At 38.4% G+C, this 25398-nt stretch overlaps 1 protein-coding gene across 58 annotated transcripts in view, besides 2 other annotated features; it reads right to left on the bottom strand.

Moving 5' to 3' along the window:
* The window catches only part of QTMAN (queuosine-tRNA mannosyltransferase), a 395002-nt gene that overhangs the window by 314186 nt on the left and 55418 nt on the right, over positions 1–25398 (bottom strand). Inside the window, exon 2 of one of the 58 annotated variants that reach the window (NM_001376309.2) lies at positions 13319–13415. The exons of the other annotated variants lie outside the window; for them this stretch is intronic. The gene's annotated coding sequence lies outside the window, so the exon portion shown is untranslated. The remainder of the gene's footprint in view (positions 1–13318; positions 13416–25398) is intronic. 58 annotated transcript variants of the gene reach the window in all.
* Positions 2195–2395: a silencer, noted in NCBI's record as "peak3893 fragment used in MPRA reporter construct". NCBI's record gives its function as "represses an SCP1 promoter by STARR-seq MPRAs in K562 erythroleukemia cells {active_cell/tissue: K562}" and the evidence as "EXISTENCE:reporter gene assay evidence [ECO:0000049][PMID:32103011]".
* Positions 15626–16408: an enhancer, noted in NCBI's record as "OCT4-NANOG-H3K27ac hESC enhancer chr2:145025446-145026228 (GRCh37/hg19 assembly coordinates)". NCBI's record gives its function as "activates a minimal SCP1, AML or CMV promoter by ChIP-STARR-seq in naive H9 embryonic stem cells {active_cell/tissue: H9 hESC(naive)}" and the evidence as "EXISTENCE:reporter gene assay evidence [ECO:0000049][PMID:30033119]".

A 25398-nucleotide genomic window follows, 5' to 3' on the forward strand; every position in this document is an offset into this window, starting at 1 on the left:
AGTCCCAGTTATTGGGGAAGCAGAGGCAAAAGAATCACTGGAGCCCAGGAATTTGAGGCTGCAGTGAGCTAGAATCATGACACTGCACTCAGTCCAGCCTGGGTGAAAGAGCAAGACCCTGTGTCTTTTAAAATAAAATAAAATAAAATAAAAAGTAAGGGGGGGCAAAAGCTCTGAACAAACACTTCACCAAAGATGATACACAAATGACAAATAAGCATATGAAAAGATGCCCAAATATCACGTTAATAGGAAATCACAAAATGAAACACTGAGATAGCACTACATACTTATCAGAATAGCTAAAATCCAAAACAATAACAACTGACAACACCAATTACTAAAGACAATGTAGAGCAAAAAGAACATTGCTCACCACTGCTCCTTTTTGTTGAAACTACAAAATGGTATAGCCACTTTGGATAACAGTTTTGCAGTTCCTACAAAATTTAACATGCTCTTACCATGCAATCCAGCAACTGTGCTTCTTGATATTTATCCAAATGAGTAGAAAACTTACATACATGCAAAAACCTGCATGCAAATGTTTATATCAGTTTTACTCAGAACTGCCAAAACTTGGAAGTGGCCAAAATGTCCTCCAAAAAGTGAATGGATAAACAAACTGTGGTATATCCATACAATGGAATATTACTTAGTGCTAAAAAGAAATGAGCTCTCAAACCACAAAAAGACACGGAGAAATGATATGGTTTGGCTGTGCTCTCAACTAAATCTCATCTTGAATTATAGTTCCCATAATCCCCACATGTTGTGGGAGGAGCCTGGTGGGAGGTAATTGAATCATGGGAGTGGTCACCCCCATGCTGTTCTCATGATAGTGAGTTGTCAAAAGATCTAATGGTTTTATAAGGAGCTTTTCCCCCTTTGCTTGGCACTTCTCTCTCCTGCTGCCATGTGAAGGACATATTTGTTTCGCCTTCCGCCATAATGGTTCTCCTGAGGCCTCCCCAGCCATGCAGAACAGTGAGTCAATTAAATCTCTTTCCTTTATAAATTACCCAGTCTTGGGTATTTCTTCATAGCAGCATGAAAGCAAACTAATGCAGTAAATTAGTACCAGGATAGTGGGGTGCTGCTATAAAGACAGCAGAAAATGTGGAAACGACTTTGGAATTGGGTAACAAGCAGAGGTTGGAACAGTTTGGAGGGCTCAGAAGAAGACAGGAAAATGTGGGAAAGTTTGGAACTTCCTAGAGACTTGTTGAATGTCTTTGGCCAAAATGCTGATAGCGATACAGACAATGAAGTCCAGGTTGAGGTGGTCTCAGATGGAGATGAGGAACTTGTTGGGAAATAGAGTAAAGTTCACTCTTGCCATGCCAAGAGACTGGTAGCATTTTGTCCCTGCCCTAGACATCTGTGAGACTTAGAACTTGAGTGAGATGATCTGGGTATCTGGCAGAAGAAATTTCTAAGCACCAAAGCATTCAAGAGGTGACAGAGCATAAAAGTTTGGAAAATTTGCAGCCTAACAATGAAGTAGAAAAAAAAAAAAACATTTTCTAGGGAAAAATTCAAACCAGCTGCAGAAATTTTCGTAAGTAACAAGGAGCCAAATGCTAATAACCAAGACAGGGGAAAATGTCTCCAGGGCATGTTAGAGACCTTCTCAATAGCCCCTTCCATCACAGGCCCAGAGGCCTAGGAGGGAAAAATGGTTTCCTGGGCTGGGTCCAAACTCCTGCTCCCTGCTGTGTGCAGCCTCAAGAATTGGCGGCCTGTGTCCCAGCTGCTCCAGCCATGGCTAAAAGGGGCCAATGCACAGCTCAGGCTGTTGCTTCACAGGGTGCAAGCCCCAGCCTTGGTAGCTTCCACGTAATGTTGGTCCCATGGGTGCACAAAAGTCAAGAATTAACGTTTGAGGCCAGGTGCAGTGGCTCATGCCTGTAATCCCAGCACTTTGGGAGGCCAAGACGAGCAGATCACCTGAGGTCAGGAGTTCAAGACCAGCCTGGCCAAAGTGGTGAAACCCCATCTCTACTAAAAATACAAAAATTAGTTGGGTGTGGTTGTGGGCGCCTGTAATCCCAGCTACTTGGGAGGCTGAGGCAGGAGAATCGTTTGAATCCAGGAGGCAGAGGTTGCAGTGAGCTGAGATCATGCCATTGCACTCCAGCCTGGGTGACAGGGTGAGACTCTGTCTCTAAATAAATAAATAAATAAAATACAAAAAGGAATTAAGGTTTGGGAACCTCCACCTATATTTCAGAAGATGCATGGAAACACCTGGATGTCCAGGCAGAAGATTGCTGCAGGGGTGGAGCACTCATGGAGAACTTCTGCTTTGGCAGTGGGGAAGAGAAATATGGAATTGGAGGCCCACACAAAGTCCCCACTGGGGCACTGCCTAGTGGAGCTGTAAGAAGAGCACCACCATCCTCCAGACCCCACCCCAAAATGGGAGATCTAGCAACAGCTTGCACTGTGTACCTAGAAAAGCCACAGACACTAAACACGAGCCCATGGAAGCAGTCGGGAGGGAAGCTGTACCCTGCAAAGCCACAGGGGCAGAGCTGCCCAAGGCCACAGAAGCCCAGCTCTTGCATCAGTGTGACCTGGATGTGAGACATGGAGTCAAAGAGAATCATTTTGCAACTTTAAGGTTTAATGACTGCTCTATTGCATTTCAGACTTGCATGGGGCCTGTAGCCCCTTTGTTTTGGCCAGTTTCACCCATTTGGAATGGGTGTATTTACCCAATGCCTGTAACCCCACTGTAACTAGGAAGTAACTAACTTGCTTTTAATTTCATGGGCTCATAGGCAGACAGGACTTGCTTTGTCTCAGATGAGACTTTGGACTTGGACTTCTGAGTTAATGATGGAATGAGCTAAGACTTTGGTGGACTGTTGGAAAGGCATGATTGTGTTTTGAAATGTGAGGATAGAAGATTTGGGAGGGGCCAGGGGCAAAATGATATGATTTGGCTGTATCCCCACCCAAATCTCATCTTGAATTGTAGTTCTCATTATCCCTATGTGCCATGGGAGGGGCCTGGTGGGAGGTAATTGAATCATGAGGGCAGTTACCCCCATGCTGTTCTTATGATAGTGAGTGAGTTCTCAAAAGATCTGATGGTTTTATAAGGAGCTTTTCCCCCTTTGCTTGGCACTTCTCTCTTTGGCCGTGATGTGAAGGACAAGTTTGCTTTGGTTTCCGCCATGGTTGTTTTCCTGACGCCTCTCCAGCCATATGGAACTGTGAGTCAATTAAACCTCTTTCCTTTATAAATTACCCAGTCTCGGGTATTTCTTCATAGCAGCATGAGAGTGAACTAATACAAGAAACATATATTGCTAAGTGAAAGAAGTTAATCTGACAAGGTTGCAAAAGTTGTAAGATTGCAACTACAAAACATTCTGGAAAAGATAAAAGTATACAGACAGGATCAGTTGTTACCAGGGATTCTGAAGGAGGGAGAGAAGAAGGGATGAACAGGTAAACCACAGAGGATTTTTAGGGCATTAAAACTATGTTGTATGATACCACAAGGGTGAATACATGTCATTATACTGTTTGTCAAAATGCATAGAAGGTGTAACACAAAGAGCAAAACTGAATTTTAGGCCTTTGGTTGATAATGATGTATAAATATTGGTTCGTCTATTGTAACAAACACACACCACTGGGGTGGGGGAGGTTGATGGTTGGGGGAAGGCTGAAGGGGACTATCCTCTATATTTCCTATTCAGTTTTGCTCTGGACCTAAAACAGTTCTTAAAAAATAAAGTCTATTAATTATTTTTAAATTAATTACATATGATAAGTTATTTCTAAAATAAAGTCCAGGTTCTGGTGTGTGCAGTTTAATACTAAATGTAATGCAATGGTTCTCCTGCTCATATAACAACAACAAAAAAAAATGCACCTTTTCCTTAAAACATATCAGATTCTTTGAAAAATATAGTTCTCCAAGAGAAGCTGATCATATGTGATTTTATGAGAAATTCGACAGGCTTCCCATGTTGAGAAGCAGTTCTTATTGTCAAAATATGAAGTTTTACAATGTCACTTCACTTTTACAATGACGGTTTCAAAAGATTATGTCCCCAATGCCAATAAAGATACTTATACACCAAGCAGCCAATGTTCACCAATATGTATTAACTCTGCAGTTTTACCATATTACATATAATTGATTTCTTCATTCAATCTCTTGATATTTATTGCTTTTCTCTCCGAATATATTTTAAAAATTCATGCATAAAGACCTCTCAATATAAAAAATTATTAAGAGCTGCCATAAAAAAGAATGAGTTCATGTCCTTTGCAGGGACATGAATGAAGCTGGAAACCATCATCCTCAGCAAACTAACACAGGAATAGAAAACCAAACGTTGCATGTTCTCACTCATTAGTGGGAGTTGAACAAAAAGAACACATAGACACAGGGAGGGGAACATCACACACAGGGGCCCATCGGCGGGTGGAGGGAAAGGGGAGGAAAAGGGAGGGAAAGGCATTAGGAAAAATACCTAATGCATGCAGGGCTTAAAACCTAGATGACGGGTTGACAGATGCAGCAAACCACCATGGCACATGTACACCTATGTAACAAACCCACACATTCAGCACATGTATCCCAGAACTTAAAGTTAAAAAAAAAAATCTCTTTAAAAGGAGTTGCCAAGTTGTAAATACACTAAATATTAAATGAGCTTAATACAGACATCTTGTTTCAAAAACAAAAAGTAAAGTCTAATATCAGGATATTTTACTACTATGTTCTTAAGAATACAGTGATAGCAAATAAACTAAAAAAATTTTTTAAAGATGAGCAGAAGACAGTCTCTACTCCAGAAACAAACTGAAAAAAAAAAAAAACCAGAACAAAAGTAATGAGCACTTCATCAATAAAACAAAGACACAGCCATAACCACAAACCACAAACTATTTTTAAAAATCTGCCAAATTATGCAATATCTGGAATCAAAATGAGAAATAATCCTGAGAGCCTATCTGCACTCCCTAAGAACTCAAGCAGAATAAAGATTTCCCTAAAATTTGAATGGTTCTAAAGCCCATTCCAGTAAACTCTAATTGGAGTTATGATATTAAGTTTCTACCTAGGAGAGAATAGGAAAGGTTTCTCCAGAAAACATGTCTATACCACAGAAGGAGAGAGAAAAAAAAAACAAAACAAGACATTCTTATTGTCAATGACCTAGCTTCCTAGCTCAGAATGACTGCCAAAAGGGGTCAAAGAGAGGGACACAGCTATCACTAGACTACTTACTACATAGGCTCCTATGACTCGTGGGCCTCAATGGCACAGTGACCTTTACAGTACTACAAACTGAGGTGAGACATGTCCCTCAAAGAAAAGAAATATCTTGGGTGATGGAGTATTTGAGATAACCCAAATAGAAGTGCAAATTTATCACTTGCACTTCATTTAACCCCTCTCCCTAATACTCAATACATGCATCTAACATCACACTTTTTTCAGGCAATATCTGTCCTTAATGAAATTGATCCTATTCAAAAATGAGTAACAACCAGAAATAAATCAGCAAAGAAATTACACAGAACTACCAAAAACTGGGGTGGAGAAACATAGGCAAATGGCAGATTAAGAAAAAAACTGTCAACAGAGACAGAAAAATCATACAAATAATTTCCAGTCTAAAAGAAGTGATAAAGAATATAAGCTACTTCAAAGTAAAGGGGTTCAAAGAAAATTATGAAATATCTAAGAAAAGATAAGACAACTAAAGGAGATGAAAAGCGAGTTGGCAGGCTAAGGGTGAAGACTGGGAGGAAAAATCATAGATTAAAGCCACCAATGAAGTGACAACAACAAAACAGAATATTCAGTACTGAAACAGTCAGAAAAAGAAGGGACAGGCATTAAAAAAATGATGAAATGGAAATACAAAGATATATAAGAGATAAGTATAGAAGGTAAAAAGATACCCAGTTAATACATACTTAACATTCTTGCAAAAAAAAAACAAAAACAAAAAACAGCAGAACAAATGAAAGAGGAAAAAAAAGGAAAGATATAATAAAAGAAAACTTTTACTTAGGGAGAAGAAAGGAAATACTAACAAAAGAAACCATTCCAGAAAAACTGAATTCAAAGTAATTAACACTAAAACAAATTTTTCTGATGTTACGGAATTCAAGAGAGATAAAACATAAACATGAATTCCTTAGGTTATCAAGGTAAGAAAATCAATTCTGGCCTTAGACTTCTCTATATTACCATCAGTCACCATTATCTGGAGATGGTCAGGCAACGTCTTTCAGAGTTGTAAGGCAAAGATATGAAATCCAGTTATGTGATACCCAGCCAAATTGACCATAAAGCTTAAAAGCAACCTACAAACACTTTCAAGCATCCAATTACTCAGAAAATACAACATCCATAAGCTCTTCTTAAGAAGTGTATACACATAAGGACAGACATATAAGTATATAGATATAGACATAACCAAAAGGGAGAACTATCAAATTCAGCCAGCTAAGAAATGAATCAAACTAAAGAGTAAAAAAAAATAAAGAAATGGAGATATGTGTTAGTATAAAGACTAAATTTATTTTTGCAGGATGGACATAGAATAGCTTGTTTGTCCTCAGAATGAATGGTTTTTACAGAAAGTAATCATGACAGGGTATGAATAATAAACAAGGCTGCTTTAATGCTACCTCCCATTATCAAGTAAAAAGAAAAGAAGAATAAAAAGGTATACTAAATTCTAACAGAATAATTTAGGGAGAATTGTTCCTACAGCCACAGGTACCCCAAAGAAACAAGTTATTCCTTTTCTGATCATCCAGAGATAGGACAGTCAGTGGATGTCAGCAGGTACACCAGAAGTGACATTTCCAATAGTCTCTGAATGTCCTGTGAAATAGCAACTAGACCTCTTGCTTTTTTGTTTGTATTTTGTTTTGAGACAGAGTCTCACTGTGTCGCCCAGGCTGGAGTGCAGTGGCACAATCTCAGCTCACTGCAGCCTCTACCTCCTGGGTTCAAGTAATCCTCTCGCCTCAGCCTCCTCAGAAGCTGGGATTACAGACACACGTCACCTCACCTTGCTAATTTTTGTACTTTTGGTAGAGACGGGGTTTCATCATGTTAGCCAGGCTGGTCTCAAACTTCTGATCTCAAGTGATCCACCCACCTCAGCCTCTCAAAGTGCTGGGATTACAGGCATGAGCCACCCCGCCCAGTAGGATCTCTGCTTTTATGAAGCCAACTGGATTTATTACTTCCATGGCAAAAACCGCAATGACTTTTGCACCAACCTAACAGTAATGACTCTTTTGGCGAGCGACCAAGCATTCTGGGGTTTTGCTATTCAGGAACAAATAATCCGCCAATCTTTTAAAAAATATACAACTAAAAGAAAATAAAACTCTTACATCTGAAGGATTACACTTAAACTAAAACACAAAATTGTTATTTTATAATTAAGCTGCACAGGCCAATTTGATTTTACTCTACAGGAATTCAGGGTCTAAGAAAAGAAATTTATTTTTAAAAAACAAAAATAAAGTGGTATTTATTTGGGAGCATTGGTTCCCCAGACTGGAATTTTCTAAGTGACCACACCTCTCAGGATTTTAGGACAATTTTCCATTATAAAAGAGTAGTTAGTAAGCACTGAATGCTTTTAAATATAAAACTAAAACTAAATAACTGTGAAAATTAATTATAAAATAGAATGCAAATGTTGCACAGCGTGACAAGTTACAAATTTAATATAACTAATAAAAATTTGGAGGTGGGAGAAAGAAAGTCTGCTAATTTTTAACTTTTCACAGCAGGAAATAAACTGATGAGATAATATGTAGTTAACTTTTAAAATGAAATGATCCTAGTCTCTTTTTTCATAATTGTTTTTTTCAACTTTAGTGAAAACACTTAATGCGAATTCCTTATTGTAAAAAAATCACTTATTTAATTACTGTAATTCTTTTAATTTTCTTTCATTTCTGTTCAAATGAAATAACATCATTTTTATTTAAACAAAAATAGTATGTAGGATACTCCTGCTTCACCTTCATTTTTTTCTTAGTTCTCCCTCTATAAATATATGTATGTGTGTGGGTATTTGTGGGTGTGGGTATGCAGAAGAGGGAAAACATCTGAAGTGATGTTCCAAGATATAATGATTATTTATGTGTAGTAGAATTTGTTTAATTTTTTATCCTTAATGGTTGTAATTTTTATAGTGAGTACATAATCATTTAATGCAAATCTTTATTTTAAGAGCTTGATAGGGCAATATTATTTAAATCATAAATCTGACTCAGAAGAGCAAATCATACATGCCCCCACATATTTCTGTACTTATTCATTCATTCACTCATTTATTCAATCAGTAACTAATGCCCACTATGTAGAAGTAAAATAGACATTAAACTGTATTAAACTTAGGTGAGTGCCATTAGGCACTTAATAAGAGAAAGCTTATACTAGATAATTATAAACCATACATGAAACATGTTATGTTCTAAATGAAAAGCATTGTTCTCATAAAATATAAAACCTGGAAGAATAAATACAACATAAATACAACTAACAGAATTTAAACATTTAATTCATACTTAGTGAATGCTATAAATTTTTTTGTAATACAGTAGATATAAGATTTAAAAAAAAAAGAAAAAGGAGGTCATCTTATTCCAACCTTTAAACTAAAGCAAAATCTAAATAAATAAAAATGGCATCTCAACATAGTGGCATAGGTTTTGAGCCTTTCTAGTGAGAAAAAGGAACCATACTTCCCATTCTAGAAAAAACTGTTTTCTCTCACTCTGCTTTATTGTTATTCAATATCTTCTACTTCACGCTATTCTCCTGAGTTACCTCCCTCTGTACAGCCTACCAATCTAATAAGCTTTTTGGCATAAAGGGGAAAGTCTAATGCCTTCTTAGCATATTTTTCCCTAAGAACACATTTAATCAAATGCCTTATTTCTAATTCCTCATCTCATAACTGTGTTGCTCTTTTTAAGAAACAATCTTTAAGAATTAACTGAATGAATAAAGTGATGGGAACCACCAGATTAAATTATTTACCAGAAACATTCTAAATTTCGGGGAGGGGGGGATGATATTTAAGCAAAAATAATAACCAGCAAAACCTAAAAAGATTTTTTTTTTCAAAAATATGTATATCAATGCATGTCCTTGGTTTACACCTGGTTTTGCTCTGAAATGGGGGAAAGCCCAGATAACAACTCTTCAAAAACGTTAAATATAATTTCCTCCAGTTGCTTTTTGAAACCCACATACATAATGACATTTGTTAGCTGAGTCTCCACATATGCCCTGCAAAAAAGTGGTAAGCATTCTCAAAGGTGATGCAAACTGCAGGTATGCAACAGGAAATGCTAAAAAGTGTAGTATTTATACAGTGTTGAAAGTTCTCAGGGAGACGACTCAAAAGTATTTTTAAAACCATTCTTTGAAACTTGAAGTGCATTTAGCACCAAAACACAGATTTCATAAATATGAATGATAAACTTTATATAAGTTATGAATTGCATATATCTTGCCATTTTTGAAAATTGTTTTGCTGGAAGACAATGTGATTATGTATCACCTTCTTTTTATTTATTTATTTATTTATTTTTTGCCCTATGATTCTTCATATCAACATAGAAGAATTCAGAGGGGAAAAAATTAAAACTGATCCATTTAAGTAACTTTGATACAAGCATATCCAATTTTCTCTCCACACCCAGAGTAAAAAGGGTGGAGGCAGAAAGAGAAGAAAGGAGGAGCATTAACAAAATGGAAAGTAAGATTGTAGACAGAAGAAACACGTGGGCTTATAATATGGCTCTTCTCCCACAGAATGGAAATGGCAACAATGATATATACATAAAAGGTCAAAAAAATGAGCCATGAACTATGGTTAGAAAATGTAAGGTTATTTAGTGAGTCAGGCACTGCCACCCAGCTCCAGCACCAACATTTACCACCATTACCACAGACAATGGAAGATGGCTGCTGGAGTGCTCCTCATTAGGAAGTCCAGTGTAGTACCTGCTATTCAAGATGCTGTTCTTACCGGCTTTGGTCAAGGGCTGTAACAATGAAGCACAATTCAAAGAGTTCCAAACCAGCCTGGGCAACATAGCAAAACACTATCTCTAAAAAATTAAAAATTAAAAATTAAAAAATAAGCTGGGGGTGATGGGTCACACCTATAGCCTCAGCTACTCAAGAGGCTGAGGCAGGAGGATAGCTTGAGCCCAGGAGTTTGAGGCTGCAGTGAGCTACAATCATGCCACTGCACTCCAGCCTGGGTGACAGAGCAAGATGCTGTCTCAAAAAAAAAAAAAAAATGAAAGGGGAGAGAGGAGGGGAGGGGAGATAGGAGAGGAAGGGAGGGGAGGGAGAGGGGAGGGGAGATGGAATGGGAGGGGAGATGGGAGGAGAGGTGAGAGGGGAAGGGAAAGGTAGGGGAGGGAAGAGGGAGGGGAGGGGAGGGGATGGGAGGAGAGGGGAGGGGAGGGGAGGAGAGCAGAGATGGAATGGGAGGGGAGATGGGAGGAGAGGTGAGATGGGAGGAGAGGGGAGAGGGGAGCAGGGAGAGGGGAGCGGGGAAAGGGAAGAGGGGAGGGGAGAGGAGAAGGGAGGGGAGGGGAGATGGGAGGACAGGTGAGATGGGAGGAGAGGGGAGAGGGGAGAGGGAAGAGGGGAGGGGATAGGGGAAGGGAGGAGAGGGGAAGGGAGGAGAGGGGAGGGGAGGGGAAGGGAGGACAGAGGAGGGGAGGGGAGGGGAGGGAAGAATATGGTCTTCATAGGCCTGTAGACCATGGCTCACGACCCATATCTCCATAGTCGAGTTGACACATGTAAAGCACTTACTGCTTGGCAGGTACACAGCAAGTTTTCAGGATATGTGCTCCCTTCCCTATGTCCCTCTTTCATTTTTTTTTTTTTCACTCAAATTTTTACCTAACACAATAAGATCTAAGACATTTAAAACTATACTGTTCCTAGGACTAACAAGAAAGGCTGCCAATTTAAGTTTTAATACAGTGGTTTTGGATACTGTACACTGATATGGGTGACCTCTGATGGTCTCTTTTACACCTATGGAAAACATCGTTCAGGTGAATAGAGAAACAGTGTACCATAGTGCAAAGATGTCTGGACATGTTGTCACTATATTTGGGTCCTGGTCATGGCTCTACCAATCATGTGCTCTATGGCAAATTACAGCTGCTCTGAATCTTGGCTTCATGTGGGTGGATCACCTGAGGTCTGGAGTTCAAGACCAGCCTGGCCAACATGGTGAAACCCTGTCTCTACTAAAAATACAAAAATTAGCTAGGCATCTGATGGCAGACGCCTGTAATCCCAGCTACTTGGGAGGCTGAGGCAGGAGAATTGTTTGAACCAAGAGGAAGAGGTTGCAGTGAGCCGAGATTGTGCCATTGCACTCCTGCCTGGGTGACAGAGTGAGACTTTGTCTCCAAAAAAAGAGAAAATCAGAATACTGCACTAGACCAAGATACTTTCCAGCTTTAAAATTTTATTCTATTGTCTTAAGTATTGCTTGAAATTCAACTGGGCTAGGCACTATAAGAGGCAAAAAGAGTAAGTATGAGGTCCACCTAAATATAAAAAACTGACAAGCTACCTAGAGAGAAAAGAGACAGATACATGACAATTAATTAATGGGAGCTATTCATGTATAGAACATAAGCACTATGATAGAAACATTATATAATAATATAAAAAGATACACTATATAATAAAATAAAAATACCTTTTCTAAAACAAATGAGGGATAAAAGAAGCTGTAGAAATAGCCTGAACTAAGAAGAGAAGCAGAACTTAAGTCTGCAAGCCTTCGTACCTCATGTTTAAAATGCAGATAATAACACCTAATATTTATTTGTCAAAACACAAAGCGGATAAATTATATGATCTCCTAAGGGTCCACTGAGAGCCAATATCACATATTCTATAGTAGGATACAGATAACAAAAACTTAAAAGCTGAAAAGACAATCTTATTGTGGGGAAAAAAAACTAATTAGAGAGGTGAGGAGGAGAATTGAATTGAGAATACTTTGAAACTTTTAGTATGGCACCCAAAATCCTTCACCATCTGGTTCCAACTTTCCTTTCTAGCCTATTTCCCACATCCCACCACCACCAAATCTCATATTTTCAGGGGGCTATTTATCATGCCCTGATTTTGGTCCCAAGTAACTGAAAATAAGGAAATGTGACTTAAAATTAAAACCACATGGATCAAAACAGAGATACGAAAATTCCCCTGCTTCCTTAGCTCTTGAGACTTCCCTGTAACTTGACAGAATATTTAAACATATCTAAAAGGAGAATGCACCCATCCAGAAGCTATGGGAAATACGGGTGAGGCTAGTCAGGAACGAAATCCAAGAAGTCACCTAGGCAAATGCTGACAAGGTCAAGCTAAGCTACCATGAGAGGGAAAGTGGTGGCTGACTTGACTCCAATAACGGTTTCCTTGGCAAAGATATTCCTATAGTGGGTAAGACTGCCTCAAGCTAACTCAGGTGAGAGATACTTCTTAAAACAAATATCCTTCCTGGATCTCTTTCCATGCTCCAAATGTGGTCTTCCAGTAATGTGACTTCCCATGTATCTTGCCAGGAGAGAAGGAGCGCAATGGTCAGAAATGCTGGGTAAACTTGACAGCTGTATTTCTCAATCAATTGACCTCCATATTAATAACTTGGCTTCCCAAGAATCCTGTCTACAGGAAGACAGGGAGGCAGTGTACTGATTTGTCAAGATAAGCAATCCAATCTACTTGACAGTTGTATTTCTCATTGGAAATTAATAAACTGACACACTGACAAACATATATAAATATATAGATATCCATGTATCAGTTTCCAAGATCTTGGTTAATGCAAGCCCACTCCTAAGACAGACCCACTCCCAGTGGGCTCAGCAAATCAGGTGTCTGAAAGTATAAGGTCAAAGACCAGACCTTGAACTGGGATGATTCAACCAAGGGAAGTCCAGTCACTTGAGGCCTGTTGGCAGCAATACACCACTTTGCATGGCCTTGCAACAAATGCCTTTAACATTCACATTACAAAATATGGGAAACATATCTGTAACTTCATTCCTGTATTCATACAATATTTCCTCTTTCAAGAATACCCTCGGTCAGGCGCGGTGGCTCACACCTGTAATCCCAGCACTTTGGGAGGCTGAGGGGGGCAGATCACGAGGTCAGGAGATTGAGACCATCCTCGCTAATACGGTGAAACTCTGTCTCTAATAAAAATACAAAAAATTAGCCGGGGGTGGTGGCACGCACCTGTAATTCCAGCTACTCGGGAGGCTGAGCAAGAGAATCCCTTGAACCCGGGAGGCGGAGGTTGCAGTGAGCCGAGATCACACCATTGCACTCCAGCCTGGCAACAGGGCGAGACTCCGTCTCAACAAAAAAATAAAAATAAAAAAATAAGAATGCCCTCCTCCCACCCCTTCTCTAACTGAGGACCTCCTCCTCTTCCTTTAAGGTTACAGCTCAAATGTCCATTCTTACTCACATCTTCCTCAGTTACTCAGGTAAAATTAATCACATCCCTAGCAACCTAGGCACACCACCCTCTGCCAGCACTCTCAAATCAGAGTGGAGAATCCAGTTTGACTCCTTCCATCAACTGCTCACCTCTCCAACAAGGCCCACACATTCATCTATATTCACAGCTCCTACCATGGCACCCTGTATGCTCTAAGTGCTCACTAAGAGTTGAGAAGTAGAAGGTAAAGAGCTGGAATACGTAAAGAATTTGAGGTGAAATAATTCTATAAAGGGAGAAAATAACCAGCTAAGAAAGTGAGAAAGTAGGACTAGATGAGGTCATTGTGAGAAGAGAACAAGGTCAAGAGCAGAGTTCACTGTGGAGGGTTACTGGAGAAAATGATGGAAAGGAAACTTATGAACAAATTACTGAAGATACTAGAAGGTTAATAAAGGGGTGTAAATAGGATTAAGTAGCAAAATGAAGAAATAGTAAGTTCTTAGAAAGAGGGGTAACATCCAGAATTTGAAAAATGGCAAAAAGTGGTTGTAAAAAAGAATCAGAGCTTGGGAGCCAGGGTGGAAATCACTACCCCACAGCCCCATCACACTTAATGACTAGCAAGTTATTTAACTTCTGTAAGCCTCAATTTCCTTATCCATAAAATTTTCTTTACCTATAGATACAACAATATCTACTTTGCATGGTAGTTTTGAAGATTAGATGATATCTAGATCAGTGACTGAGACATTGTACCAATCGATAGTAGCTGCTACTGTGATTGGTTTTACAAACATTAATCTAGCAATGTAAGTAAAGTGAATTAAAGGAGGACTGGAAGTTGAAACATCTCTTAAGAGGAAACTGCAACAGTCACTTGCTTTGGGCACAGGTATAATCTTAAATTCACTTTACCTTGGCCTTAGTAATGGCTTTACCCTTAACCAGCAATGATAACTCAGGCAAGTCACTACTACTTTCGGTACATATGTCCCCATCTGCAGACTTATTTAATAAACTCTGACCTTCCTACTTCACAAATTTGTTGTATGGGTTATTTTAAATCAAGAAAAAAATACATTTGTAAGTGTTTCACAAACTATAAAGTACTTTGGGGAAAAGAAAGAAATGAAGAACATGGGGCAATTTTAGGAAACATTTTCAGGAAAGGCTCAAGGACATTAGAGGTATTGGAAGGTAAGGGACACAGCATAAAGGACACCACACTAAAAATGTCAAGGTATTAAGAGAATGCTTCTTTAAAAGAAATGCAGATATTTAGAGGAAAAAAAAATAATCTGAAGGAGATGATTTGGGATCTATTCTAAGATGAAAGTGCAGGACTAGAGTTTAGGTGATAGGCAATGATGTGAAATAGAACTCTGAGAATCACCGGCAATACCCATCAGAGTGTGAGAATTATGATTTATCTGTGATACAAATGCTAAACAAGAAGAACTAAAGTTATTATAAGATTCAAAATGGAATAAGTAAACGCCTAGCAAAGGAAAAGTACAAACCCACCCTAACACCTCAGAGACAGGTATTACAGGAAGAAGAGTAGGCAGCAGAGACTTCAAAGGAAAGTGCTCATGTAGCTGAAAAGCCAAGGTCATGTGACATTAGCATGTCAAGGAGATTGAGAACTGAGAAAAATAACCCTCTACATTTGGCTAGATGTGGTCACCAGTGACCTTCACGAGTGCAGTTCCAGTACAGAGGTGGGACAAAAGCCAGATTGCAAGGAGTTAATCATAATTCTATGATCCTAACACAAAAAAGCAGTTGCCAGTAAACTGAAGGTGAAATTCACAGATAAGAGAAAAGCACATTTAATAATTGAAAGGGGACAAACTTTATCTCAAGAAAGCTTCTTAGGATTTTTAACACTTCCACAGGAGAAATAGGACTTAGGTTTTTAAAAATCTCCTGAAAGTTATATTTAAGTAGTAAAACAGATGAAAATTTTCCTGCAACTGAAAGACAAAAAGAGAGAGAGGTGAGTTAGCCCTAATAGCGATCTAAACTTTTGATTACAATTCATTCACATGCTCTAAATAGGTATTTCAATACATTATACTTAATAACAACTGTAGTGCTATGGACTGAGTGTTTCTGTCTCCCAAAATTCCTATGTTAAAGCCTTATCCCCAGTGTGATGGTATTTGAAGGTGGGGCCAATGGGAGGTGATACAGTTTGAATATTAGTTCCCTCTAAACATCATGTTGAAATTTGATTTCCAATATTGGTAGTATTGGAGGTGTTGCAGGTGGGGCCTGATGGGAGGAGTTTGGATCAGGAAATCAGATCCCTCATGAATGGCTTGGGGGTGGCCATTCTCATGGTAATGAGTGAGTTCTCATTCTATAAATTCCCCACAAGAACTGATTGTTACAAACAGCCTAATGGTTTCCTCCCTTCTCTCTTCCTCCCTCTAATGCCTGCTCCCTTTCTTCTGCCATGAATGGTAGTTCCCTGAAGCCCTCACCAGAAGCAGATGCTGGTGCCATGTTTCTTGTACAGCCTGCAGAACCGTGGGCCAAATAAACCTCATTTCTTTCTAAATTACCCAGGCTCAGGTATTCCCTTATAGCAATGCACAATAGACTAAGGCAGGAGTATTTAAGATTTGAGGGAGGAGCCCTCATGAATGGGGCTAGTGCCCTTATAAAAGATGCCAAAGAATTTCCTTCCTCTCTGCTCTCTATGTGGCAATACAATGAGAAGGTGGCCATCTGCTAACCAGGAAGCAAGCCCTCACCAGACAAAGGATCTGCTAGCACTTTGATCTTGGATTTCCCAGTCTCCAGAACTGTAAGAAATAAATATCTGTTGTTTAAACCACCCAGTTGAGGATGTATTTGTTATAACAGCCTAAACTGACCAAAAAATACAGGCAAACCAAGGTATCCTTTGTGTGAATAAATTACATATTACTAAAAAGAGCAGTTAAATAACATTGCTATGTTATAATTATTAAGTAAACATTCCTTTCTAATGGCCCCAAATTTCCATTTTTTTTTGTTTTTTGACTCTCGCTCTGTCACCCAGGCTGGAGTGCAATGGCACGATCTCGGCTCACTGCAACCTCCACCTCCCAGGTTCAAGCGATCCTTCTGCCCCAGCCTCCCGAGTAGCTGGGATTACAGGCACCTGCCATCATGCCCACCTAATTTTTGTATTTTTGTAGAGATGAGGTTTCATCATGTTGGCCAGGGTGGTCCCGATCTCCTGACCTCAGGTGATCTGCCCGCCTCAGCCTCCCCAAGTGCTGGGATCACAGGCAGGAGCCACTGCACTCGGCCCCCAAGTTTCCATTTCTTAAAGCCTATATAAATCTACGTAAGATGTTACAAATGTCTTTTTGAGATTCCATTCATAATATACGCTAACTGATATTTGATTTAAATAAGTATTCACCGTTACTTTTAATTCATTTAAAAGTAAAATATAATCCCAAAAAATCATTTTTAAATAATAATAATTCTAAAAACCATAATGGGAGAAGCTGAGTAAAACTCCCCCAAGAATCTTAAGGGTCCTAGGATGTTGCTTGATGCAGTTCTTCAAAAGAAAAGAGGAGAGAAAGAGATTCTGCTTGTACCTCAATTGCCAAAACTTTTGTCCTAATTTCACAACTGTGAATGATATCGTTAATTTTTAACTTTTTTTATTTTTTGCATAGTAAAATGTTACACCAAAGAAATAATATATAAATACAGACATAATCCAAAAATATCATTTGGGTCAAGTTTTATCCTTCTCACCCCAAAAATCTATGGTCAAAGATACCAATTATAACTGATTTTATACAGTTGGTTCTTTTTTGCTTTCCAAGATATGGAAGGGGTTCTAATGAAACATTCCAAAATAAAATGACCTAAGAAAAAAATACAACGGGCCAGAAAAATCCAAATTTCCCTGATTCTGACTAAGATCCAGAAGGAAAGAACACTAAACTAGAAATTAGAAGCTCTAGTTTTAGTCCAGTCCACATGGAAAAACCCCATTTAATTACTATGCTATCCAACTTCCTCATTTAGTAAAAAAAAAAAACTCACCTATTCCACCTACTTCCAAAACCGTTATAATCATAAAATATAACAGCATATATAAGAAATATAAATTACATTTGTAACGCATTATAATACTAAGAGAGCTTCACAAATATAAGGCAATAACTATTGATCATTATTTTATAGTTTAGATGGGTTATTTTAATTAATCTATATACTATAAGCTTAACAGATTTTTTAATATTATAATACCACATTTTATTATTTCAATTATTCTCTGAACTCTAATGGACATATTTAGTTGTGAATGTCTATATAGTAAAATGTTGATTATCCAGTCAGTTAGGATTTCTACATTGTTTAGAAGGTGGTCTACCAGAAATAGGAATGCTTTTACACTGTTGGTGGGAGTGTAAATTAGTTCAACCACTGTGGAAGACAGTGTGGCAATTCCTCAAGGATCTAGAACCAGAAATACCATTTGACCCAGCAATCCCATTACTGGGTATATACCCAATGGATTTGAAATCATCCAACCGTAAAGATACATGCACACGTATGTTTATTGCAGCATTATTTACAATAGCAAAGACTTGGAACCAACCCAAATGCCCATCAATGATAGACTGGATAAAGAAAACGCGGCACATATAAACCATGGAATACTTTGCAGCCATAAAAAGAATGCGTTAATGTCCTTTGCAGGGACATGGATGAAGCTGGAAACTATCGTTCTCAGCAAACTAACACAGGAACAGAAAACCAAACACTGCATGTTCTCACTCATAAGTGGAAGTTGAACAATGAAAACACATGGACACAGGAAGGGGAACATCACATACTGGGGCCTGCCGGGGGTGGGGGGGCAAGGGGAGGGATAGCACTGGGAGAAATACCTAATGCATATGGGGCTTAAAACCTAGATGATGGGTTGATATAGGGCAACAAACCACCATGGCACATGTATACCTTTGTAACAAACCTGCACGTTCTGCCCATGTATCCCAGAACTTAAAGTAAAACAAAAAAATAAAAAGAAGGTGGTCTTCCAAGAAAAGATAATAACACTTAAATGCAAATTGGATGAAAGATATTTCTTAGCTACTCTTAAAAGATCTGGTAGGAAAGAGAGGTTTAAATAATAAACTTAAGATTACTACTATTTACTTATATTTCCTTGAGCGGGGTTCACTTTCTCTAAGTAAAGATTACAAGTACTTAATATTTTCTCTTCTTATGTCTAAAATCACTCCCATCTATTACACAACTAATTCTTATTAGTTTTTTCCCCCAGTAAAACAAAACTACATAAATGTACTTCTCTTTTTGGTCTTTCAACTAAATTTTCATAGGAAGGGTAAGTGTAAAGATTTCTTTATGTTTTTAAGCAGAAGTTTGGTCTATTCCTCAAATAAAGTAATTCCATGGAAATAGCTGTTACATAAAATCATCATGTCATAAAACATGACAGCAGTCACAAGCATTTGAAAAGCACTTGAAGTGTGACCCTATTTGCTCACACTCTAGAAATAAACATATAATCCATGCTGCTTTCTTAATCACTACAATCTAAATATTGAACAGCTTGGCTTCTGATATTCTTTCACCAGCATACAGAAGGAACCAGACTAGCCATTTGAGAATTAGTTTACGAATTATCCATTTCAGAGGACTGGGTCTCAGAGAACAGTCTTAAAGCCAAATGTAAATCTAGAGTAAAGAAATTTTACCTCTCAGTAACTTTCCTACATAAAGACTGAGAAATCACCTGTGAAATTCAGAGTAGACAATAATATAAATAATTACATGTAACCTAAGGCTGAAGGTAGTGAGCAAAACTGGGAAGAAGTTTAAAAAACATTTCAGTACCTTTTTCTACAGGGCTCTTTCCAGAATGCTCCCTGCTCCCCCACCACTATGGCTTCTCCCTCAATCTCTACCAGTTTACCCTCCTCCCTTTAAAAAACTGTACTGAGCAAGTCAGGTAATATCTATAGGGAAGGAAAATGAAACGAACTATTCCACTACCTTTGCCTCAACCTGAATCTCTTGTTTAAAGTCTCTGACAATCAATAATCTTAGTTGAAAGAGAAGTCTAAAAAACTTATAAATGAAGCTCCTACATACTCCTCCCTGATCCCATTTCCCTCCTTCTTTCCCAAAGGTAACCACTTTGCTGACATGTGTATCACTTCTACCACTATTTAAACATCCTCTATATGTGATTGCTTTTATAGAATGAAACTCCATAAGCCCACAGGCTGTGTCTGATATTGTTCTCTGTGTAGCATCTAGTAATCAGCGTACTGTAATCATTTAAATGCTACAAATAACTCCAAAGAAAAATTAATATTTAGTGAAACTAATTAAACAGAACCATATATTGTCACAATAGGGGGAAAAAAACAAATTTCTTCCCCATCTATCAAACTCAGTTATGCATCTATTGTATAAAGTTAATCCAAAAATTAAAATTGTTGAAAATGTGGGTTTTAATTTAAAATACTGATTGAATAAAATTTAAAATACCAAACAAAATTTAGGTTTGAAAAAAATACATCTTTCATCCAAACAATTCCCTATAAACTCAACAATTATAATTTATTCTGATTTTTGTTTCACTACATTAGATGTTATTTTTCCATATTCCCTAAGCAGCAACAAATAACACTATGCATGAGGACTGATCTAATTACATGCCAAAAAAGACAGACCAGCACCCTCACACTCCACACTCCCCTCTGTGGCTCCTTCATACCCCATATGTTGCTAATAAAACTGTTTGAATCATACCTAAGAGACAGTTTTACTGACACAGTATCAGGCCTCTGGGTTCTTCACAAGGCAAACTATACTACCAGAACTGTTACAAATGCTAATTTTAAGATTGAGGCAAATGGAAATCTACATTATGTGTGTGTGTGTATGTGTGTGTGTGCATGCATGCGTGTGTGTATGTGTGCAAATACAGGCACAGATATACTCTGGGGCATTAAAAACTTGCATTAAAATCACAATTTCATTATTTGATTCTTTAAAATCCCCATTTTAGCTATAAAGACATAGAAGGTTCTGACATCTGAACTGCATGAAATTTGAGAAACAGAAAGCCGCATATTTTTTATATTGTTAATATGATCAATTCAAAGATCTGACTGGTAGAAAATAATGACAGCAAGAATTCTTAGTAATAATTATTTAAAAACACTAAAAGGAAAGGAAAACAATGGAACATTGAAGCAACAATCAGAAATATACATACCTAATAAATTGATAAATAATCCAGTATTTATGTACCTTTCTACTTCAGAAAGCTCCAGCGCTTTCATCGCATGTATATTCAAATTCACCACATGAAATATTTTCTTATAAAATATGAATGCTGAAATGAAATGATTAACAAAAAGCTAAAAAAAAAAAGTCTGTAAATACTGATATTATAGGAAACGCTCAATTAGATCAAGACAAATGCATTCTCTTTTTTTTCTAGAAAACTTCTCCAGGGGACTCCTCCCTAAGATGTTATTCCAACATGATCTCAATTAATCCTCAGGGAACAAGACTCCTTTTAACAAGCTGGCTTATGTACAAAAGGGGTATGACAATTCCTAGTCTCCTCTAAGTTGTGACGGCAACAAATAAAAAACAGGAAACAAGGCTGCTGGTTCAAGTACTAACCTTTCATAGGACGGTCTGACCATTATCCCAGGACTCAAAAAGCCCAATCAACACCACCAGGCAGGGGAGGGAAAAGAACTCAAGTTCAGAAGGTTTGGAGGAGTACTCTAAGGACTGGTCTTATATGGAGTAAATTCATGATCAAGAACACACACCAATGCTGAAACATAATAGTTGTGCCTCTAAGTAAAACATATGACAAGGACATAAATTACTGGATGTAACCATTTATTGGAAGAGGATTTACTGAATTTAAATTATAGAATTCTGGAGTTGGCAGGAATTTGAGGGTCACAACCCTCTCCAAACAGAAGACTTCATATAACTTTCTTCTTAGGGACAATGGCCCAGTGTGACATTGTGATAAGAAATATATGGCCGGGCGCGGTGGCTCACGCCTGTAATCCCAGCACTTTGGGAGGCCAAGGTGGGCGGATCACAAGGTCAAGAGATCCAGACCAGCCTGGCCAACATGGTGAAACCCCATCTCTACTAAAAATACAAAAATGAGCTGGGCGTGATGGCACGCACCTGTAGACCTAGCTACTCAGGAGGCTGAGGCAGGAGAATCGCTTGAACCCGGGAGGCAGAGGTTGCAGTAGGCCGAGATCACGCCACTACACTCCAGCCTGGCAACACAGCGAGACTCCGTCTCAAAAAAAAAAGAAATATATATTTGTTCTCTAACCATGGTTCCTGGCATAGAGCTCCTAGAGCCCTTGTGATTTCCTAAGCAATAGGGGCACTAGGAGAATCTTGTTCTATTTGGTCTTCAACCTCAGTTCCTGACAGAGCTCCTAAGACGTTTGTAATTTCCTGAGTGATAGGAGAATCTGACACAGTTTCTAAATCTCTTGGAATTTCCTGTGTGATAGGAGCATCTATTGTTCTAATGAGGTGATTCTTACTAGGCTCCTGGATACCCTCAGGATGGGGGCTGGTTGCCAGGATACAAATCATGTAATTAGTGGGCTGGAACTTTCAGCCCCATCCCTGACCTTTTGGGAGGTGACAGGGTCTGAACGTTGATTGAGTTGATCACCAATGACCAATGATGTAATCAATCATGACATATAATGAACCTCCATAAAAACCCCAAAGGGGTTCAGTTCGAGGAGCTTCCAGGTTGCTGAATGCATAGAGGTACTGGGAAGGTGGTACGCCCAGAGAAGGAATGCAAGCTCTGCACCCCACCAGACTTGTCCTATGCATCTCTTTCCTCTGGCTGCCTGTCTGTACCTTTTGTAATATCCTTTATAATAACCCAGGAAACATAAGTGTTTCCCTGAGTTCTGTAAGCCCTCCTAGCAAATTAAACCTGAGGAGGAGGTCATGGGAACCCTGATTTATACCTTACACCCAGTCAATCAGAAGCACAGATCACAACCAGGGACTTGCAATTGGCATCTGAAGGTGGGTTGTAGGGAGCAGTACTGCGGGACTGAGCCCTTAGCTGTAGAATCTGACCCTATCTCCAGGTGGATGTTGTCAGAATTGAATTTAATTATAGGACACCCAGTTGGTGTCTACTGGAAAATCTGGTGTTAACAGTGTTGAGTGCTATATGAGAATAAGAAAAAAAAGTTTGTTTTTTCCTTTACACTCAGAATCTGGGAAAACTTACCATGATGGTGCAGTGGCTCACGTCTGTAATCCCAGCACTTTGGGAGGCCGAGGCAGGCAGATCACCAGATCCAGAGATTGAGACCATCCTGGCTAATACGGTGAAACCCTGTCTCTACTAAAAATACAAAAAATTAGCCAGGCGTGGTGGCAGGTGCCTGTAATCCCAGCTACTCGGGAGGCTGAGGCAGGGGAATCGCTTGAACCCGGGAGGTGGAGGTTGCAGTAAGCCGAGATTGCACCACTGCACTCCAGCCTGGGCAACAGAGTGAGACTAGGTCTCAAAAAAAAAAAAAAAGCCTTGAATATTAGTATGCTATTTCTGCCTAAGCCCTCTTCCCTGTCAGGGACATTGGCCTGTCTACTTAGACTTCAAAATCTGACCTATGCCATCAGACTCAGACTTTGACTTTGTCCACTAGACTCTTAAGTGTCCTCTTACATGTCAGACCTTCTAAATATAATTATGACCCTAGTCTGTTACCACCTCAGGTCAGTTCCCAGATCCATCTGCCCTCATCTATGAAACAGCACAAATACCACCATTCCCAACTCTGCCTACTGCTCAGTCTTAACAGCCCCATGATTGCAGGGAAGCTTAATGCTGAAGGAATCCATCCTGGCCTCACAAGTCCAACAACCTATTCCAATTCACGTATCTACACTAGCGTTTACTTGGCTGTTATTTTATCAAGACACAAGACCACCTGAGATTCTGATAAAAACTACAGATCTTCTCCTCTGAAGAAGGCCTGAATATATATATATATAATGTTGTAAATAATTTCACAGAGTTCCCATGAATCCTAAGAACTCTCGCTAACTATAACAGGGATTCTCATATTTAAAAACTTAAATACATATTCCTCACACACACATACACAGACACACATGCACACGTGAAATTTTATTTATGTCTATAGTGATATGTAAAGACATACTTTTTTCATTGTTTTTATTATTCTTTTTGTGTATGTCCCCAAGGGGTCCTGGTGATCAATCAAGTTTGAGAGTCAATGCTCCATAGATTTAGAGCACCGGTCTACAAAGAAAGGTGTCTACTCAAGGCAATTATTTGGAGTGCGTGGAAAATATTAAAATTCTGGTTTTTTTTAAAAAAAAAAGTTATAGAAATGGGGTCTTACGATGTTGCCCAGGCTTGTCTCCAACTTCTGACCTCAAGCAATCTTCTCCCCTCAGCCTCCCAAAGTGCATGGGATACAGGCATGAGCCACCACACCCAGCCTAAAACTCAGTATTATTTTTATTTTTATTTTTGTAGAGACAGGGTCTTGCTATGTTGCCAAGGCTGGTCTGGAACTCAAGTGATCCTCCCACCTCAGGCTCCCAAAGTGCTAGGATTACAGGCATGAGCCACCATACCAGGCCTCTATATTTGAGATTTTGTCAGTGTCCTCTTACACGTCAGACCTAATCTAACCTAATCCTTTTTTTGTTTCTAATACTTCTATTTGTTTCAGAATTGACATATTATTACAATCATACATGTACATTGTTTATAGGTAAATAAAAATATATATTGTATGTGCTTTAAAAAAATTTACTCATCAAAAATTTAGATACTTCTTCAGGGAAACGACAATGATAAACAGTGCTCTGGATACACCATCAAGAACTGGTTAAGTGGTAGGGATTAACTGCAATGGTCTACACTCGCATGGCCTAATACCTCCCATCAAAACCATGCCTGTAACAGTGTACCTCAGTATCATACTTCACACCCCTAAACTCTTAATAGTTCATACACTTACAGAACTTTCATAAAATACAGCAAGTCATTATATCAATACTTATAATTTGGGGAGTGGCACTGATTTACAATCATATTGTTATTTTTTAAAGTGTAAGCAGTAAGGTATTATCAAGATGTGGCACACAGTGAACATTTTATAAACATGCATATTGTATATTTCAGTACTTCTCAAATCAGAAAAGTTCTAGTATGAAGTAAGGCAGACAATAGGTGCCCACTAGCCACATGTAGCTTGAGTATATGAAATGTGGCTAGTACCACATGTTTAAATGATATTCTGGATATAATGGGTTAAATTAATCATATTAAAATTTATTTCATATATTTATTTTTACTTTTTTTAATGTGGCTACTAGAAAATTTAAAATTATACACATGGCTTGCATTATATTTCTATTAGGCAGTACTAGTCTACAGAACAGTAAAATAAATTAGACGCTATACTTTATGAAAACTTTACCTTAATCCCAACTCCACCCCCACCATAAATGTGTTCAAAGTAATATAAATTATTTACATTTACAAAATTTTTGCATGGGTCTAGGTTTTAAGATATCAATTCAACAAGAATATATACTTTTCTTCTGATTGGCAAAAATGAGCAAACCTGATAGCCTGACAGGAATGCTGTATCCACATACCCTAATGCAAAACTGTGAAGTTAAAAAAGAGTTACAAGACATTCTTAAAAATAAAATTTATATACTATAAGCTAAATAAACACAACAGGATCTATTTAGATTCTTACACTGCTTTAATAATTGGGCTTCACCTACA

This window comes from Homo sapiens, chromosome 2, assembly GCF_000001405.40.
Source record: "Homo sapiens chromosome 2, GRCh38.p14 Primary Assembly".
Lineage (NCBI taxonomy): Eukaryota > Metazoa > Chordata > Mammalia > Primates > Hominidae > Homo > Homo sapiens.